We start from the raw sequence: 21,657 nt of genomic DNA on the forward strand, positions 1-21,657 counted from the left end.
TAAAAAAAAAAACACAACAAAAATCATTTGTTTGTGTCCCCTTCAATCCCTAGGTAGGGATTTGAATGTACAGCAATGATACAGTAAATATTGGTTGAAGGCATAAATACATACATACATTAATGATGTATTTTTCAGATTCCTGTAACAGGACAAAATTATTTGTGAATCATACAAAGAAAAAAGGATAATAATATTCAAGAAAATATATTTTCATCATTTGTTAGCATGAATCTCCAATTTTTATTGGTTATTTTCCACATGGTTAGCCAGGGATCATTGACTTTTTTTTTTTTTTTACTAAAAATGGATTTGCTGTATCCATGAACAGTACTAAGAAAGTTCACATCCATATTGTGCTAACTTATTTTTACACATATTTGGAGACAGGATTTTTCAGAGGTGCTTTTCATGCCTTGCCCCATATGCTCTAGATCACCCTCTGAATTACCCTGCAGCCATCATGGAAACTCACTATAGAATCTGACAGTTTCTAGCTCAACTTTCTTTGTCTCTCTACTTGTCTACATGACAGCTCTGGCACCATAAGTGATTTCTCAGGAAAGCCTGGAGGAAGTGCATTTAACATCCGCAGGGTCAACACTCAAGTTGAGGGAATGGGGATTGTGGATAAATACCCCTGGACTAATTCTGAGGACAATCTACACTGTTCCTTGGAGAGTACTCAGCAGGACTGTGCTCCAGTTGCCTACTGACATAGCCTGCTTACCAATGCTCTCTTTACTGCCTCTTCTTCCTTCTCTATTCCACTTCCCTTACTCCTTTTCTCATCCTCTTGATATCGTCCCCAAAATATCATCTGCACCCAAGTCCTTGTCTTAGGGCCTGGTTTTGGGGCAACCTAAACAGAGACAGGTATGCAATATATACACAGGGAAATGGAAAATGATTAGAAACATTCTGATAGCTCGCTATAAAGGCATTCTGCTCCAAGCCTCCTCTGATGAGAATGCTTTGTTTTGTTTGCTAGGATAGTGAGTTACCTACCTGCCATCAAAAAGGGTTTTAGACTCCAGAGGGAGAAAGTACACCCTTTCCCTTATAAACCGTGTGCACATGAGCTGAGAAGCCAGTGGAGTTCATAGGGCTTGAGCCTACTCCTACATTATGGGAGCCAAGGAAAGTCTATCACATCAGGTGATAAGTCTGCTACACAATCTTGGGATAAAGAGGCATTATCAGCCATAACCTAGATTGTCTTTCTTCAAAGACATGATTGGGAAATAAAAATATGGTCTTAACATATAAGAAGCTAGGCCTCTAAGACAATGATCAGCATGTGGTAAGCATTTAATAAATATTCCAAAAATTTTGTTGAACAAAGTACAATTTTCTTTTTAGGCCAAAACTATTTTTCTACAGTCTGATAACTTTTCATCCAAGAAAGGCTTAAAGTATTACTATTTCAAACGTTTTAGCTTCCATTCTACTTGAAACTCCATGAAACTCCATTTGTCCTCATTCAAATGCACATTAAAAGTCCATCTACTTCACTTTATAGGTAATTAGACTGAAAGCAATTAACTGGCATGCCCAGAGTCCCATGGTGGAGACAGACCTTGAATCTAATTTTCCTGATTCCTGGGTTAATATTCTTCCCCTCACATGACACTCATTTTTCAAAAGAGTGAGCCATAAATCCTAACATTTTCCCATTAATTCACTAACTTCCAGCCAATGAACACGAATGAGTACAATTCACTAATCTGGAAATACTTCGATGAGTAAACATTTTATCTTTCAACAGCTTTTTGGACTAGGGAGGCAGAGAGGGGAAGACACTTTAGAGAGATGCTGCTCTAATACATTCATCCTGCATTGTGGAAGACCTCAGAGAGTAAAACCCCATTCCTGGTTCAGATTTACAACCTGAAAGTGTACAAACCCTTATTGTTTTATTTCTTATTTCCTGCCACCTTTATTCTTCTCTACATTTATCACCATCTGACCATGTGTGCTTGTGCTATGTTTCCTGATTGCGTGGTAATTTTTTTTTTTAATACCAGCTGTGCTTGTTGAGGATAGAATATGAGAATGGAACAGATCCAGAAATACTGCACTTAGAAAATTAAATTAAATATGATTAACAAGTATGAATGACTCATTCAACCATCAGCCTAGCTTGTCCAGGAACTCTAGATCAGGATATAAATCAAAGAACTTAGCTAGGTACCAGAAAACTTAAGAACCTGATGAGGTTAATGGTTCTTGAGATGGCTGTGATTTTTTTTTAGCACACAAAAAGCCATTTTAGGTTGTTTATTTAAAATATATAAACTTATAATATTTTATTTATTCGTTTTTCTATACATTATTGGGGTACAGGTGGTATTTGGCTACATGAGTAACTTCTTTAGTGGTGATTTGTGAGATTTTGGTGCACCCATCACCCAAGCAGTATATACTGCACCATATTTGTAGTCTCTTATCCCTCACCCCCATCCCACTCTTCCCCCTCAAGTCCCCAAAGTCCACTGTATCATTCTTACACCTTTGCGTCCTCATAGCTTAGCTCCCCCATATCAGTGAGAACATATGATGTTTGGTTTTCCATTGCTGTTACATCACTTAGAATAATAGTCTCCAATCTCATCTAGGTCAGTGCAAATGCTGTTAATTAATTCCTTTTTATAGCTGCATAGTATTCCATCATATATATATGATTCATTCCTTTTTATAGCTGCATAGTATTCCATCATATATATATATATATATATATATGAATCAGTTTCTTTATCCACTTGTTGATTGATGGGCATTTGGGTTGGTCCCATGACTTTGCAATTGTGAATTGTGCTGCTATAAACATGCGTGTGCAAGTATCTTTTTCGAATAATGACTTATTTTCCTCTGGGTAGATACCTAGTAGTGGGATTGCTGGATCAAATGGTAGTTCTACTTCTAGTTCTTTAAGGAATCTCCACGCTGTTTTCCATAGTAGCTGTACTAGTTTACATTCCCACCAGCAGTGTAGAAGTGCTCCCTGTTGACCACATCCATGCCAACATCCACTGTTTTTTGATTTTTTGATCATGGCCATTCCTACAGGAGTAAGGTGGTATTGCATTGTGGTTTTGATTTGCACTTCCCTGATCATTAGTGATGTTGAGCATTTTTTCATGTTTGTTGGCCATTTCTATATATCCTGTTGAGAATTGTCTATTCATGTCCTGAGCCTACTTTTTGATGGGATTGTTTTTTTCTTACTGATTTGTTTGAGTTCATTGTGGATTCTGGATATTAGTCCTTTGTCAGATGTATAGATTGTGAAGATTTTCTCCCACTCTGTGGGAGGTCCCAATTATTTATCTTTGTTTTTATTGCATTTGCTTTTGTGTTCTTGGTCATGAAATCCTTGCCTAAGCCAGTGTCTTGAAGGGTTTCTTCCAATGTTATCTTCTAGAATTTTTATAGTTTCAGGTCTTGGGTTTAAGTCCTTAATCCATTTTGAGTTGATTTTTCATAAGGTGAGAGATGAGGATCCAGTTTCATTCTCCTACATGTGGCTAGCCAATCATCCCAACACCATCTGTTGAAAAGGATGTCCTTTCTCCACTTTATGTTTTTGTTTGCATTGTCGAAGATCAGTTGGCCTTAAGGATTTGGGTTTATTTCTGGGTTCTCTATTCTGTTCCATTGGTTATGTGCCTATTTTTATACCAGTACCATGCTGTTTTGGTGACTATGGCCTTACAGTATAGTTTGAAATCAGGTAGTGTGATGCCTCCAGATTTGTTCTTTTTGCTTAGTCTTGCTTTGGCTATGTGGGCTCTTTTTTGGTTCCATATGAATTTTAGAACTGTTTTTTTCTAATTCTGTGAAGAATGATGGTGGTAGTCTGATGGGGATTGTATTAAATCTGTAGACTGCTTTTGGCAGTATGGTCATGTTCACAATATTGATTCTACCCATCCATGAGCATGGGATGTGTTTCCATTTGTTTGTGTCATCTGTGACTTCTTTCAGTAGTGTTTTGTAGTTTTCCCTGTAGAGGTCTTTCAACCCCTTTGTTAGGTATATTTCTAAGTATTTTATATTTTTTTGCAGCTATTGTAGAAGGGGTTGAGTTCTTGATTTGATTCTCTGCTTGGTTGCTGTTGGTGTATAGAAGAGCTACTGATTTGTGTATATTAATCTTGTACCAGGAAACTTTGCTGAATTATTTTATCAGTTCTCAGAGCTTTCTAGAGGAAAATTATTCCTCTGGTTATTCTCGTTAGCAATTATTTCCTCTAACGTTTTTTCAAGGTTCATAGCTTCCTTGCATCGGGTGAGAACATGCTCCTTTAGCTCGGAGGAGTTTGTTATTATCCACCTTCTGAAAACTACTTCTGTCAATTCATCAAACTCATTCTCAGTCCAGTTTTGTTCCCTTGCTGGTGAGGAGTTGTGATCCTTTGAAGATGAGGTTTTCTGGTTTTTGGAATTTTCAGCCTTTTTGTGCTGGTTTTTCCTCATCTTCATGGATTTATCTACCTCTGGTCTTTGATGTTGGTGACCTTCAGCTGGAGTTTCTCTGTGGATGTCCTTTTTGTTGATGTTGATGCTATTCCTTTCTGTTTGTTAGTTTTCCTTGTAACAGTCAGGCCCCTCTCCTGCAGATCTGCCGGAGTTTGCTGGAGGTCCACTCCAGGCCATCTGCCTGTATCACCAGCGGAGACTGTGGAACAGCAAAGACTGCTGCCTGTTCCTTCCTCTGGAAGCTTCGTCCCAGAGGGGCACCTGCCAGATGCCAGCCAGAGCTCTCCTGTATGAGGTGTCTGTCGACCCCTGCTGGGAGGTGTCTCCCAGTCAGGAGGCATGGGGATCAGGGACCCACTTGAGGAAGGAGTCTGTCTCTTAGCAGAGTTTGAGTGCTGTGCTGGGAGATTAGCTGCTCTCTTCAGAGCCAGCAGGCAGCAATATTTAAGTCTGCTGAAGCTGTGCCCACAGCCACCCCTTCTCCCAGGGGCTCTGTTCCAGGAAGACGGGAGTTTGATCTATAAGGCCCTGACTGGGGCTGCTGCCTTTCTTTCAGAGAGGCCCTGCCCAGAGAGAAGGAATCTAGAGAGGCAGTCTGGCTACAGTGGCTTTGCTGAGCTGTGGTGGGATCTGCCCAGTTGGAACTTCCCTGCAGCTTTGTTTACACTGTGAGGGAAAAACAGCCTATTCAAGCCTCAGTAATGGTGGACGCCCCTCCGCCCAGCAAGCTCAAGTATCCCAGGTCGATTTCAGACTGCTGTGCTGGCAGTGAGAATTTCAAGCCAGTGGATCTTAGCTTGCTGGGCTCCGTGGGGTGGGATCCACTGAGCTAGACCACTTGGCTCCCTAGCAGGGAAGCCATGAGGGACTGTGCCATGAAGGACAGTGCATTCTGGCCCCAATACTATGCTTTTCCCACGGTCTTTGCAAACCGCAGACCAGGAGATTCCCTTGGGAGCCTACACCATCAGCACCCTAGGTTTCAAGTACAAAACTGGGTGGACGTTTGGGCAGACACTGAGCTAGCTGCAGGAGTTTTTTTTCACACCCCAGTGGCACCTGTAACACCAGCAAGACAGACTTTGATGTAGGCATTTAGGGCTATGAACTTTCCTCTTAGCATCACCTTTGCTGTAACCCAGAGGTTTTGATAGGTTGTGTCATTATCATTCAGTTCGAAGAATTTTTAAATTTCCATGTTGATGTCATTTTTGGCCCAACGCTCATTCAGGAGCAGGTTATTTAATTTCCATGTATTTGCATGGTTTTGAAAGTTCCTTTTGGAGTTGATTTCCAGTTTTATTCCACTGTGATTTGAAAGAGTGCTTAATATAATTTTAATTTTCTTAAACTTATTGAGGCTCATTTTATGGCCTATCATATGCTCTATCTTGGAGACAGTTCCATGTGCTGCTGAATAGAATGTGCATTCTGCACTTGTTGGATGAAATGTTCTATATGTATCTGTTAAGTCCATTTGTTCCAAGGTATAGTTTAAATCCACTGTTTCTTTGTTGACTTTTTGTCTTGATGACCTGTCTAGTGCTGTCAGTGGAGTACTGAAGTCTCCCACTATTATTGTGTTGCTGTCTATCTCATTTCTTAGGTCTATTAGTAATTGTTTTATAAATTCGGAGCTCCAGTGTTAGGTGCACATGTTTAGGATTGTGATATTTTACTGTTGGACAAGGCCTTTTACCATTATATACTGTCCCTCTTTGTTTCTTTGAACTGCTATTGCTTTAAAGTTTGTTTTGTCTGATATAAGAATAGCTACCCCCTGCTTGCTTTTGGTGTCCATTTGCATGAAATGCCATTTTCTACCCCTTTAAGTTTATGTGGGTCCTTATGTGTTAGGTGAGTCTCCTGAAAGCGGCAGATAGTTGGTCTGTGAGTTCTTATGCATTCTGCAGTTCTGTATCTTTTAAGTGGAGCATTTAGGTCATTTACATTCAATGTTTGTATTGAAATGTGAGGTACTGTTGCTTTCATCATGCTCTTTCTTGCCTGGGTACTTTGGTTTTTGTTTTCTGTTTTTTCTTTTTAATGTGCATTTTTGTTTTATAGGTGCTGTGTGATTTTTGCTTTAAAGAGTTTCTGTTTTGAGGTGTTTCCAGGATTTGTTTCAAGATTTAGAGCTCCGTTTAGCAGTTCTTGTAGTGGTGGTTTGGTAATGACAAATTCTCTCAGCATTTGTTTGTCTGAAAATGACTGTATCCTTCCTTCATATATGATGCTTAGTTTCTCTGGAAACAAAATTCTTGGCTGATAATTTTATTTGAGGAGGCTGAAGATGGGTCCTCAATCCTTTCTAGCTGGTAGGGTTTCTGCTGAGAAATCTGCTGTTCATCTGATAGGTTTTCTTTTATAGGTTACCTGGTGTTTCTGTCTCACAGCTCTTAAGATTCTTTCCTTCATCTTAACTTTGGGTAACCTGATAATGTGCCTAGGTGAAGGTCTTTTTGTGATGAATTTTCCAGGTGTTCTTTGTGCCTCTTGTATTTGGATGTCTAGGTCTCTAGCAAGGCTGGGGAAGTTTTCCTCGATTATTCCCCCAAATATGTTTTCCAGGCTTTTAGAATTCTCTTCTCAGCTATGCCGATTATTCTTAGGTTTGGTCATTTAACATAATCCCAGACTTCTTATAGGCTTTGTTCATATTTTCTTATTTTTTTTCTTTGTCTTTGTTGGATTGGATTAATTCAAAGACCATGTCATTGAGCTCTGAATTTCTTTCTTCTACTTGTTCAATTCTGTTTCTGACACTTCCCAGAGCATTTTGCATTTCTAAAAGTGTGTCCAAAGTTTCCTGAATTTTTTATTGTTTTTCTTTAAGCTATCTATTCCCATGAATATTTCTCCCTTCACTTCTTGTATCATTTTTTGGATTTCCTTGCAGTGGGCTTTGCTCTTCTCTGGTCCCTCCCTGATTAGCTTAATAACTAACCTCCTGAATTATTTTTCAGGTAAATCAGGGATTTCTTCTTGGTTTGCATCCACTGCTGGTGAATTAGCGTGATTTTTTGTGGGGGGGTGTTGAAGAGCCTTGTTTTGTCATATAGCCATGGTTGGCCTTCTGGTTCCTTCTTATTTGGGTAGGATCAGTCAGAGGGAAGGTCTAGGGCTGAAGGCTGTCGTTCAGATTCTTTTGTCCCACAGGGTGTTCCCTTGATGTAATACTCTCCCCCTTTTCCTATGGATGTGGCTTCCTATGAGCTGAACTGCAGTGTTTGTTGTCTCTCTTCTGGGTCTAGCCACGCAGCGAGTCTACCTGGCTCCAGGCTGGTATTGCAGGTTGTCTACACAGAGTCCTGTGATGTGAACCGCCTATGGGTCTCTCAGCAGTGGATACCAGCGCCTGTTCCAGTGGAGGTTGTGGGGAGCAGGTTGCAATGGACCCCATGAGGGTTCTTAATTTTGGTGGTTTAACGCTCTATTTTTGTGCTGGTTGGCTTCCTGCCATTAGGTGGAACTTTCCAGAAAGCATCAGCTGTAGTAGTGTGGAGAGGGACTGGCAGTGGGCAGAGCCCTAGAACTCCCAAGATTATATGTCCTTTGTCTTCCACTACCAGGATGGATAGGAAAGGACCATGAAGTAGGGGCGAGACTAGGCATGTCTGAGCTCAAACTCTCCTTGGGCGGGTCTTGCTGTGGCTGCTGTGGGGGTTGAGGGTGAGATTCCCAGGTCATTGGAGTTGTGTACCTAGGAGGATTATGGCTCCCTCTGCTGAGTCATGCAGATTGTCAGGGAAGTGGGTGAAAGCTGGCAGTCACAGGCCTCACCCAACTCTCACGCAAACGGAAGAGCCGGTCTCACTCCCACCATGTTCCCGCAACAGCCCCAAGTCTGTTTCCAGGCGGAGGGCGAGATGGGCTTGAAAATTTGCCCAAGGCTGTCCGCCTCCCAGTTGTGAAAGAAAAGGGCTTTAGTTTTTCCCCCGGCCTGTGAAGTATGAACGCCCCATTTGCGTCCTCCCTTATGGCCAGGAGGCTTCTTGCCCCATTCAAATTGTTACCAAGTTCAGCTACAGAATTTCTTCTCCCTGTGGACTTTTACCCCCTGCTCCTCTGGCCACTCTCCTGATGGATCACTGTGGTGCCAGGCAGGAATGGGCTGCTTGGGATCCAGCAAGCTCCCAGGGCCTTTCTGCTGCTTCCTCTACCCGCTTATTTCACTTGCCTGTCTAACTTGACTCAGCTCTCTAACTTGACTCAGCTTCTATTACTCTGAGTTAATAGAAGACAGAAAAGTAAGAAGAGGAAATAAAGCTGGCAATATTACTCTGCAAGGAGAGTGGCTAAAAAGTAAAAGACCAAATGCCCCAGAGAAGATTCCCCCACAGTTCTCTTTATCCGAAGCAAACTCAAAAGCTTAAACTCTGGATTTTCTTTCCCCCTTTACTACTGTTTTTCTGTGTAACCTTAAAAGAGAGTCATTTAACCACTTGGTCTTCTTAGGTAAAAATCTGATACCTTTCATTCATCCAAGACAGACTGATTATCTGCTTATCAGAATATACCAAAATATAGTTTACTTCAAGTTCCCCAAAAAAGAAAGATGTTATCAAACCCACATAGAACTTAGTGTTTTCTTTCTCACTACCTACGTACACCTTTCCTCCTCCAAACATGAACACATGTATTTAGGTTGTGGTAATGATAATGTGGGAAGTGTCTATTTATTAATAGTCATCAGATAAATATTTCTTAGATTGAACATGGAACATCTTTGATATTATAACTAGAGTTTAGAATAGATCACAGTGAGAATTTCTTTTTTTTTTTTTTTTTTTTGAGACGGAGTGTCGCTCAGTCGCCCAGGCTGGAGTGCAATGGCATGATCTCGGCTCACTTCAAGCTCTGCCTCACGGGTTCACGCCATTCTCCTGCCTCAGCCTCCCGAGTAGCTGGGACTACAGGCGCCCGCCACTATGCCCAGCTAATTTTGTGTATTTTTAGTAGAAACAGGGTTTCACTGTGTTAGCCAGGATGGTCTCGATCTCCTGACTTCATGATCTGCCCACCTCGGCCTCCCAAAGTGCTGGAATTACAGGCATGAGCCACCGCGCCTGGCCGAGAATTTCTTGAATTTACTTTAACCATCATCATCTTCATCTATCACTCCTCTTCTTTATTTTGACACATGCAGAAATATTTTATTGGTCTATGAGATACAGTGCAATGATACTAACACCCTTATATTAGGAAAGTTAGTACTCCATTTTCTCTACTCTTTCTCTCCTATGAATAAAGGAAAATAATCAATTCAGTTGCATGTTGAAATTATTAGGATGAGAGTCATATTATAAAAAAAAATTGCCTCATCTAAAAGTGAAATGTAATGTCTGAAATATGTAAGTTTTAAGAACTTACAAGTCCTCCATTCGGTAGGGTAGAGGATGAGAATGTATGGGTTGGGATATAAAGAAACATAAGTTATCATACAAATAAAAGATATATATCTATATATATGATATACTGTCTATAGATAAATATGGTAAAGGAAAAGAAAATCAAGTATTTCAAGAAGAAAATCTATTTTGTCAAATGTGACAGAATAGTAAATAGGTCAAGGGAATAGGAATAAAGGATTCTTTGAGGGAGAAGATAAAAAACTAAACACAGTAAGATTATATAACACAACTGTGAGGATGATTTATCTTTTAATGTATTTGTTTAATATTATCTTTCCGTATAATCTTTCTATAAACTCACCTTGGTGAGAAATAGAATTCAAAATACCTTATATTTCCATTCACTCAGATTTTGAGGTAAACGACAGAATTTTCAAAAACGTATTTCAACTTCTACACATTATTAGGGTTGAATTAAAATAAAGAAAAGCATTAACTGCTTTATTTCCCACTTAAAAGGGAAGAAGCTGGAAAAAAAGAGTAAAATTTTATATACATAAACATATGTGTTATATGTAATAAAATATCCATAGAAAAGATATTCTGAATTAACAAAGTAACACAAAATAAAAGGCATAATTAAAATTTCTACTAAAAATAAAAAAAGTAAATTACTAGACTCTAATAGATTATTTTAAATCAGAAACAAAGTTTATGATAGTATTTCCTTAATCTTGAGAATAATGGAAAAAGATACATACATATACACACACAAATAAAGACTAGAGAGAGCAGGAGAAAACACATTACATGAGAGTCCCAGATTAGTTGTTTTTTATGCAGACAGTAAACAGTATTACAGTGTATCATAATGACACTGACTTACACTAAATTTTATGGGCTTATAATATGAATGTCTGAAATTATGTACTGTGAATAAACAACAGTTACTCAGCATAGGTATTGTATTATTTTAATGTCTAATCCTTTAACCTCTAGACATGAACATATTAATTTATGCAGGAAGTTGATTAGCTGTTTTACATCATGTAGACACAGTCTAAGTTCAGCCATCATTTACTTTATTTTATTCTTCCTGTTTTCCAGGATTGATAATCAAATGCAAACAAAAGCTCTATGACAACACTACCTATATCATGTGCAGTTTATGATAAGCAAAGTGCATCTATCATAAATATTAGAGAATATCAGGATCCTTATATCACTTGATCTTCAGGAAAAAAGTGAGGCTTTGGAGAAATGAATGTTTTATTAAAATTTGACAGCATCAATCAGCTCAATTTACACTAGCTACTGCTAATGGATTATGACAGTCATTTCAAACTAGGAATACACTGGCCCCAGTCACTACCCATAAACTAGAGTTGGCTCTGTTTGTGATACCAGTTTTAAGTGAAAACAAAAAAAGTACAAGAAAAATCCTTCACTTTCTATGCTTTTATACTTGTCAAGTTTAAATGCTTAGGAAAAAAAGCATAACAAACAAAACATATTTTCAAAACCAGAACAAATATTAGGTTGGTCAACTAACGAATTCACATAGGATTATTAATGGATTTAATTATTTGATGCTTGGTCCTAGCCTAGCTGCAATTCTATACTTCCACCAGACTGCAGAAGGTGGACACATCTCAGAACAAGTCATGATGTGCCAAATTCAGAGAACAAGCAATCAAACGTGCCTGGCACTAGACCAACAGATGGGCCTTAATAGAGCTGGTAAAGGTGAGAAAAAATGAAAGTTAATGTCAGAGAGAAGCAGGAGAGAACAAAATATTGAACATGTAGTCTCGAAAGTTGAAGTTCAACAGGGATTATGATTAAAGTCAAATCCACAAAGTGTGTGAATGTATAGAAAATGGAGTTTCTCAACAAATCTTGATTTAATATACTGGCTCATTGGGTCCTAATCCTTCTTTTTTAAAAATATTTTAATCAATTCACTCTTCTCAAACAGTCACTAAATAACTCATCATATCTCAAGTAATTAAAAAAAATCAAGAGTCTCAAATACAAATGGTTTACCAAAGAAAATTTAATTTTACATAATTTGTATTTTCTTAATGAAAAAAATTCAATCAATAGGCAGGGAGTGGGGAGGACTTCTAAGATGTGGCAGCTTTTAATCTAACAATATGTGCCCTGGGAAAGCACATAACCTTCTCTAAACTGTATTTTATGATTTAGGATCTTAAAAGTCTACTCTGTAGAGAATTGAGAGAGTCCTGTATGGCCCTTATCATAGTTTGAAATCTTATATTTAACTGTGAGTTTATTTAATGTGTGCTTCCTCTACCAGCCTGTACATCCATGAGGACAAGACCCAGGTCTATTTTAGTTACTGCTGTAGGTCTAGTGCAACAGAGGCCCTCAAAAATGGGTTTAATACTGAATGAGGGAAACCTAGTAGAGCCCTTAATATTTAGTCCTTCCCACCCTCAGCACACATACAGCTTTGGGAATTACTCTTAAAATTAGAGAACAGGGAATTTTTCTGTATTCCTCACTCTCCTTCCCACTCAATCTCCCCTCTACCATACTCTGGTTATAATAAACGTACTTCTACTAATGTCCTTATCACATTGCACTGTAGTAGACTGCACCAAAAAGAAATGAATTAGTTATCTGTGTGCCCATAATCTCTGGCAATGCCAGGTGATTTCCTTCTATTTTGCTTTCCAACCAGCATCAAGAAATGGCTTAGAAAAAATGACACATTTAAGCTCAGAATACAAGGAGGTATTGGATGGCGTAAAAGAGAAATTTTATGGAATCAAATAAAGCCAATCATATAACAAACAAAATAAATCACCTTTATCTAGTAACAAATTACTGGAATTAAAAAATTGTAAAGTCAGTATCTCCCAAAAGGAGAATTCATACATTTAATCAGAACAAATCACTGAGTCTAGTATTTACATGAAATACTTTTCACTATTTCACATAAAATAATCCTTTCACAATCTTTTCAGTAAAAAGCCAGAAAGAAATACATACATGATGGTGTTAATGCCTGAGAGCTGCTGGAACATTTGTAGGCCACAACCCACAATTAAAGCTCGGCGAGTTGGGGGATAACTCAGCATTCTGCAGATCACAGGTCCAGCTTTTTTAAGAAAGAAAGAAAAAAAAAATACAACTATTATTTTTAGCTCTCATAGTAATTATTCCCAATAGGACAAATTTTCCTAAATCTTCATGAAATCAACATGACTGGGCATTTTAAATCAGAACAACTCTATTTTTACAGAAATCTGGGTACAATATTTTATTTTGCAAACAGATAGTGTTTTTGTTTTTGTTTTTAGTTTGAACTGTAAAAGCGACAAGAGATAATTTAAGTTTAAGCAATTTATGGGTACTAGAAGACCTATATAACTAAAACTGTCAAATTAGTCTTCCTTAAATCCCTACAAGCTCTAGAGATTAACCACTTCCTTTGTTCTTCAACTTTCTTGTCAATTAAGTATTATTTAAAATCCATCCATGTGGGACTACTTAAAAGTCACTGGCAAAATTGCTTTAATCAACCGTAAGAAAAGCATTCATTAAGAAGAATTAAAGAACAAAATTCATGTTATTTTACTAAAGTTACAGAATTTGGGCATGATGTCAGCCTTGGTTATAGCTACAATGGAGATTATTAATAAAAGTTACCAAAAAGTTAATAAAGAAAAACAATTAATACCTATTATCTATAGATGTGTGTATGTGTGTGTACGTGTGTGTGTGTGTGTATTTCTAAATTTTGAATAGTCCCTTAAGAGGCAATCAATGATTATTTTAAAATACAAATGAACTTTCAAAATGGCAGAGATACTTTGGTCTTTATCTGAACTCTGGATCAGTTCTGGAAAGCTGTAAATCTGAACCACTGAGTCCTTAAGTAGGTTGACTAACCTTATTGATGCCTGTTGTCAGGGCATAATTACTAAATGTGGCCCTTCCAGCCTCATAAGTGTTTCAGTTACAATGTCACCTTAGCTTTAAGAGGCATTCTATATGGTGTCCTTAATGGAGCTAGAGTCAACTCCCAGGACCTATGGTATTCCCGCTGTTAGAAGAGATGGCCTGGGATCACTGCAATGCTAACTGCTTAATTAGAGTCCAAGTTTTGTTAATGAACTCTAAACCAAGTCCGGTAAATTAAAATCCAAAGAAGTCTAACTATTTCAGGATCTTTTGAAAATCTAATATTCAAATTCACAAAAATGGAATACAATATGTATGTTGTCTCAGCAATAAAAGTTAGTATGGGACGTCAAGCCAGGGCATTAATTAGAATGAAATATTATAGGGGTGAGAATATTCTATTCCTACATGGATATAAGTATAATCATAAAACTTGAGTTATTGCAAATGATTTTGTTTCTAAATGGCAAGAGAGGGAATAGATTAATTTAGAGAAGCGTTGATGGTCATTCAAAGCTAAATGTAGTGACGATCCATTTAGAAAGCAGACTGAGGGTATTATAAATGTCAAATTGCCTTAGATTCGAGCAAAGCAGTATTAAAGCCTAATATATCAGAAAGACTGTGTGAAACAGGTGAATTTTGAGAGTTTGATTGTAACAATGCTGAAATATATCTGGATCAGCAACCTGAAAGATAGGCAGGCTCATCTGCAAATACAGATACCTGCAAGTGACCCACAAAATAAGCAAGGCACTACCTTTCCTTTAATCAAAACTTTCAAATAAAAATAATAACATTTACCTTGTATATCATGATTTTTTTTTTAAAAAAAGACAACAAAACAAAAACAAACAAAAGCCCTTTCTCAGATGAGAAATTAGTTTTTCCTAATGCAAGAAGTCTATTATAATCTTTGGAAAGATGCATCTACTTTCACTATTAAACTGTATCATGATTTGATGGTCAGGCTAGGTAATAATGATTTTGGAGAACAGAAATACAGAACATTATGACAAATTAGGACCAAAGTTTGACTTGCCATAAAAACAAGAGATAAGCTATTGCATAAACATCACATATTTCCTAGTTTTTTAAAATCTGGATTTTATATTTTCTCTTGATTTGGATTTCCTGTTAAAAATAAATGATGGTAGTTCCTTTATTAGACTGCATTTTTTAATGGATAAATTTTGGTCCCAGCAGCTGCACATCTGATTATGCATAAACAAAATTAAAGAATTTCCTTTCATTAAAATTATGAACCTAGCTTTATTAGGCAGTAAAACTTCCTTTACAAATGAAAACCATCATTAATCTTTATATCACAGAATCTATGAGGCAGAAGAAAAAAATCAAGTACATTAATTGGCTGAATGTTCATAAGTGAACATTTAAAATGTCATGCTCTACTTAAAACATTTCTTTTGCTTTTGTAATTAAAAATGTTTTGTGCATACAAACATTTCACATTTAATTTTATTTTAAATGTTTATCTTTCAAACACAGAAATTCTCACATTATAAAAACTAAAACCTTTAACCAACTAGATTAGAAATAAAAGACCTAAAATATAACCCATAGTAAAGCAGTAGATTCAAGATCCCAAAATGAGCTCATCCCTCTTCCTTCACTCTGAACACCTCATACTACCAAGTTGCTAAGTAACTTGCATAAGGTTGTCCAGGTGGCAGAGGCTCCAGCAGCAGGGATGAAAAAGAGTCCCACAAGGGCAGCCACTTTTGTGGATGATAGGTTGTCTGTGAACCTAGCCTACAGAAGGTTTTCTAAGTATGATTAAAAATGCACTAAAAGCCAGTTTGTATAAAATTCCAGCTCTTGACTTTCATTTCCAGCTAAGACAGAATAATGGCTATCAGCTTTCCCTTTCTACATGAATCAACTAGAAAGCCATGCAAAAATGCATGAAACAACAGTTCTCATGCTAGCGGATAACAGGCAATGAAGCAAAGTGATACCTGAGATTTGGGAAACAAATGAGGCGAACCCTGTAACTGTCCCCAGCTCAATATCTCAAAAAAGTTTCCAGGCTGCAGCACAGGGCAGGTAAACCAGGCAGACATTGGTGTTTCCTTGAGTTGAAAAGATGCAGCTCAGAATACAGAGATGCCAAGGGGGCTAGAATTCAGATGGCAGAGGACCCAGGGAGGATAGATTCAGAGAGGGAGGAGGAGAATCTGGAGATCTTCAGAATTTCCCTTGAGTATTCAGTTGAGTACTGATCAGTGTAGGTGTGTGAGGAAACAACCCAAGACAGGGGAAAGAGCTACTGGAAAGGGTTAGAGAAATCAATTCCAGGAGCTCAAACAGGGCTGGGGATAGTGCCTGTTCCTACGAACCAGAGTGAAAAATCTGAAGCATACAAAAGAGTATTTAGAAGGGATATACCTTAATAATGGTGTAAGTTTAGTCCTAGATTAAACATTACTTGAATGCCATCTAAAACAGCATAAAAGCAAGACTCAACTGCTTCTAAGCAGCTTAATGGTATCCGAGAACAAAACTCAATGAGATAAAATTTTATAATGTGGACATAAAATAAAAAATAACTAAGAATGCACAAAGGCAGGAAAATACAATTTGTAAAGATAACGGGACCAATTCATCAAGAGAATATAACAATCCTAAACGTGTATGCACTTACTGAGAGCTTCAAAATATTAATACTTGAAAGAAAAACTGACACAACAGAAAAGGGAAATTGAAAAACCTACAATTGTACTCTCATATTTCATCACTCTCAGTAACCGACAGAACAAGTATCCTGAAATTCACCAAGGATATAGAAGACTCCAAGAACACTATCAACAAACTTGACCTAATAAGTGACATTTAAACCACATTCCACCAAATAAGAGCAGGATATGCATTCTTAAATTGTATGGTCAATGTCTTAGAATATTTACCTGAGGTAGATTATATTCTGAGCTCTAAACTAGTCTCAACTCATTTAAAAGGATTCAAGTCATATTAAGAATATCCTGACCATAATGAAATTAACATAGAAATCAGTAACTGAAAGACAACTGGAAAACATCCCCCAAATTGGAAACTAAATAACACATTTCTATGAAAATTAGTAAGAATATAAAGCTGAAAGAATCTAAACACATAGCCTATAAAAATTTGTGGAATGGAGCTAAAGTGTAACAGGTAAAATTACTGCAAGAAATCTCTTAGGAAACCTTCAACCTTAAGAAACCAGAAAAAGACAGACGAGTGAAACCCAAAGTATGCACACGCTAAAAGTATTACTAAAGATCAAAATGGAAATCCATGAAGTAGAAAAGAAGAGAGTTGAGAAAAATCCATAAAACCAAAATTGTTTTTTTAAGACCAATAAAATTGATAAGCTTCATGCCAAGCTATGGTAGGCTAAATAAGGGCCCCTCAAAACATATTCACATCCTAATCCCTGAAACCTGTATTATCTTAGATGTCAAAAATAAACTTTGTAGGTATAATTAAGTTAAAAATTTTGCGATCGGAAGACAATCCTAGATCATCCAGGTTTTCCCTAAATGCAATCACATGTATCCTTATCAGGAGGAGGCTGAGGAAGATTCGAGACAAAAGCAGAGAAGACAAATGCAGAGATTGGACCTACGCAGCCAAAAGCCAAGGAATGACAGGTGCCCCCAGAAGCTGGAAAAAGGAAGGAAGAGGTTGTCCTCTACGGACTCTGGAGGGGGTGTGGGACAGGAGTGGACACCTGGCCACCACAACTGTGAGAAAATAAATGTCTACTGCGTTAAGCTACCAAATTTGTAGTAATCTATTATAGTAACCACAGAAAACAAATGCACAGACTATCCAGGAAAAAGCCAGAAACACAAATGACCAATATCAGGAGTAAATGAGGTGAACTCAGGACAGATATTAAAATAATAAGAGTATCATGAACAACTTTATGCCATTAAATTCAGCATCTTCAATGCAACAGACAAATTCCCTAAAAGATACAATCTTCCAAACTCACTCAAGAAGAAATAGCCTGAGTAGCCAGCCCTATAAGCTATTAAAAATACTGAATTTGTTAAAAACGTTCCCCCAAAGAAAACTCTAAGTCCAAATAACTTGACAGAAAGCAGATCAATGGTTGCCTGTGGAGGGAGGAATTACAAAGGGGCACCAAGGGAAGTTCTGGGGAGGCAGCAATATGTTCACTTGCATGGTTGTGGTAATGGTTTCATGGTGTTCACATATGCCAGCGTCTCAAATTATATGCTTTAAATACATGCTTTTTATTGTATGTAAATTATTCCTCAATAGAGCTGCTAAAAATCAACAACAAAAGTAAGAAAAAGCTTCACCAATAATCTAGAGACTTTAGATGTCAGGAAGGCTGACATGGTGAACTGGATAAGAAAAAAAATTCAATATTCAAAGAGCATGATATTCCCTTAAGTAAGAACACAAGGGGGTTATTAGAAACAACAATGTTTGATCAAACTGAAGTAATGAAGTCTGCTGTGAGACTGCTGAAAGAGAACTGCCAATGATGAAGCCCCCTTAACACCTCTTCAAGGTTTTTCTTGCTCTTATTCTTCCCTTTCTTTTTGTTTTATTTATTTATGAGTTTTACCTTGTATTAATATTAAAGTTAAGGAGGAAAAAGTGGAACACTTTGTGACTAATGGATTACAAGATGCAAACTGTAGGAGGCTTCCCCACTGCTGATAAAGTAAAGATGCCCCTGTGGAGAAAGCAGGGGCCTCACTGGGAGCAAGATAATCACTGCTCAGCTTCAAATATTATTCTCCCCACTCCTCAATTTAGGGCCCTATAATTGGGCTACAATCAAGCACAGCAAGATCCCCCAACACCACGATCCTTTCCTGAATGCAACCAGAGGCGGCCATTCTCACACAATCACCAAGAGTATTAAGCATTTGCTCAAATCTCAATGGATTATCTAATACTTCAATAACCCTTCCTGCCTTATGAACAATTTCCTATCATCATCAGAGTCCTGTGAAGTCAGAGAGACCAAGTGTTGCTACCCCCATCTTAGAAAAGAGGAAACTAAACACAGAAGGATTAGATAACTCTTCCAAGGTCACAAACTAGTAAGTGTTTAGAGAGAGAACTTGGGCCGACATCTTGTTCATGCCACAAATGCCAAGATATTTTGTATGCCCACTTAAATAAGCTTATTTTTCTTAGCATAAAAAATCAACAACTTATGAACAGTAGAAGTAACACAAAACAAAACTGAAACACTTCCAAGCTATAGTAACAAACATACTCTGTGCTCCTTACGACTGCAATTCCTCCATTTCATTTTCTTCATCATTTTCATGGTCCCACCTGCCACTCTATCCAGCCTCAGTTCCAGATTTATCTACTTCAAGCCACTCATTTCATTCCCACATCCAGGGAGTTCTCCATTCCCACATCCAGGGAGTTGAGCATTGTTTGAGAATAATTACAAAAACGAGCCACACTCATTTTGGGACAAATTCAGCATGTCAGGTCCTGCGTGCTATCAGGGGAGCCTTTCACTCATCTCTAACTGGCTCCCAATCATGTTCTCACAACATTCACTTTAAGCATTCCTCCTCCTTGGACTTCCATTGATTTCTCCTGTCTCTCTGGCCAAGAATCCCCTAGTTCCTTATCATACCTGAAGCGCTTCCCATGAGCCTACTCCATGCTAGGGACAGAAACGTGAGGAGGCCCAGCCCCTGAGGAGCTCATAATACCAGGATGGGGTCATCCACCAAAACAAAACAAGCTATGCCACAATGGTGTAAGTGCTCTAACAGAGGTACATATACAGTATTATGAGATTAAGGCATAAGGAAGGACCCACAAGAGGTATGCCACTCAGGTACATACAAAACAGAAGTCCTCATTTCTCACCCCAAACTTGTTTTTTACCCCATGTTATCTAATTTCAAAGTAAATCAAGATTCATGGCTTTTGAGTGCTCCTTCTCTCTTCATATATCCTGAATCTAATACATTGCCAAGTTTTAATCAGAATTAATGTATGTATGCCTAACTTCTTTCCACAAAACATTGGAAAGATTTCTTCTGTTCTGCACCTGTACCTCTCTGCCTCCCCACCTTTCTACTGCCTGTCTGGCTGGCATCCATCTCCCAGTGGGACAGTGCACGGCTGTGGAAAGTGTTCACACAGACCAGTGTTAACATACCAGTCCTACAATGTAGCCACTGTGAGATTCTGTAAGTCTCCATCGCCCCTTCAGTAAAATGGATTTAAGAGTAGTACTATCCATTTGAGGATTAGAGATAATAAGGTTCCTGGCACATACTATTCATGTGTTCAATAAGAAGCCTAATATGTGGTCTCAACATCCCCAGTCTCTACCGAATCCAATCCATCCCGCCTCCACATTGCTGCCACCTGTTGGCTAAAGCACCCCACTGAATCCTCCACTTACTTGTTCAAAACCATTGATAACAGAACCATCAGGGCCTGTTTCATGAAGGGGACACTCCTGCCCCAGCCCACCTGAGAAGATTTGTTTCATACTACTTCTCCTCTAATAGGCAATGCTTCAGCAATTTTTGGGTAATCTGTTTTACTCAAAGAAGTCCCATATTGTTACAATTTTGTCTCTTACAATGTTCCTTCTGCTTGGGATCCCATCCTTGCAATTCTGAAGGACTGGACCAGGCTCTCACTCCTGGCTAATTTGTTTTGGGGACTAGGTCCCTGATCTCTGTTCCATAGTGAATTATGATCTCTGTGCTGGATTATGTCGGGTGTGTAGTTCAGGCTTTGCTCATTTTATCATTTTACTTCCCATTGTGCTTAGTTCAGGATCATGTAAATAGAGGACATTCAGTAAATATTTCCTTGATGAATATAAGGAATAAAAGAAGGAAAGAAGAGAAAAAAAGAGAAACACCAGAGCAAGTATGGGGATTGAGAACTCATGGATGAAGCAATTTGAGTATACTCCAAGTTGCTAAACAATGTTGTGATTAATTAGAAACTACCACCAAGATCCTGAGCACACCCACGCTGTTTTCCTCTTCAATATGCAGCAGATGATGTTTGTGATTACAAGCTGGTGCTTGGCACATGTTCTGCTTGAAAGAATGGACTGCTGCTATTGATGAATTCAACCCCATGTGGTTCAATCATTCTTTCACAGTCTGGCATTTATGCCAATACATTCCAAAATCCTCCAAGGCAATCAATTTGCCAAGATGTTGTGATGGGCCAGTTGTCTATAGATGCGTGCTTGTAAGCTGATCATGGTACATTAGGGCCGGTATGCAATGACTGTGTTAATCTGGTCATTATTATTCCAGGTTGCTAATGTAAAGGTTTTTATCAACTTAGAAGAGGAGATGATTATAGGTCTTAATACCACTAAAATACTGTTTTCAAAAACCAATTTCTGTTACTATCAAGAATTCTTTCTAAATTCTAAAATATTTTCTTTGTCAAAAGTATCTACATAAATGAAGCAGACATAAAATGCATTCCTCAGCAATTCTCAACTGAACGAATTTCAAACTTCTTAACAGTCATGGGAGTGTGGTATGTTGCTGAGGAAAAAATTACGAAGAATTACTGTTCTAGAAAACTTTTATTTAAAAAGAGGAAGTATCCTTTCTAAATAAATAATTTTCTTTTTAAAAAAATTTTATTTTACTTTAAGTTCCAGGATACACATGCAGTATGTGCAGGTTTGTTACACAGGTAAATGCATGCCATGGTGGTTTGCTGCATCTACCAACCAACCCATCACCTAGGCATTAAGTCCCAGATGCATTAGCTATTTATCCTGATGCTCTCCCTTCACCTGGCCCCCAGACAGGCCCCAGTGTGTGTTGTTCCCCTCCCCGTGTCCATATGATTTTCTTAAATAGCTATATTGTTAGCA

At 38.1% G+C, this 21,657-nt stretch overlaps 1 protein-coding gene across 8 annotated transcripts in view, besides 1 other annotated feature; it reads right to left on the reverse strand.

The window, feature by feature from the left end:
- The window catches only part of SLC2A13 (solute carrier family 2 member 13), a 351,057-nt gene that overhangs the window by 183,378 nt on the left and 146,022 nt on the right, over positions 1-21,657 (reverse strand). For all 8 annotated transcript variants that reach the window (XM_011537847.3, NM_052885.4, XM_017018765.2 and 5 more), the window contains one exon: positions 12,855-12,963. In XM_011537847.3, coding sequence (XP_011536149.1) covers positions 12,855-12,963 — 109 coding nt within the window. The remainder of the gene's footprint in view (positions 1-12,854; positions 12,964-21,657) is intronic.
- Positions 8,311-8,810: an enhancer, noted in NCBI's record as "H3K27ac hESC enhancer chr12:40340515-40341014 (GRCh37/hg19 assembly coordinates)". NCBI's record gives its function as "activates a minimal SCP1, AML or CMV promoter by ChIP-STARR-seq in primed H9 embryonic stem cells {active_cell/tissue: H9 hESC(primed)}" and the evidence as "EXISTENCE:reporter gene assay evidence [ECO:0000049][PMID:30033119]".

Source organism: Homo sapiens, chromosome 12 (assembly GCF_000001405.40).
Source record: "Homo sapiens chromosome 12, GRCh38.p14 Primary Assembly".
Lineage (NCBI taxonomy): Eukaryota > Metazoa > Chordata > Mammalia > Primates > Hominidae > Homo > Homo sapiens.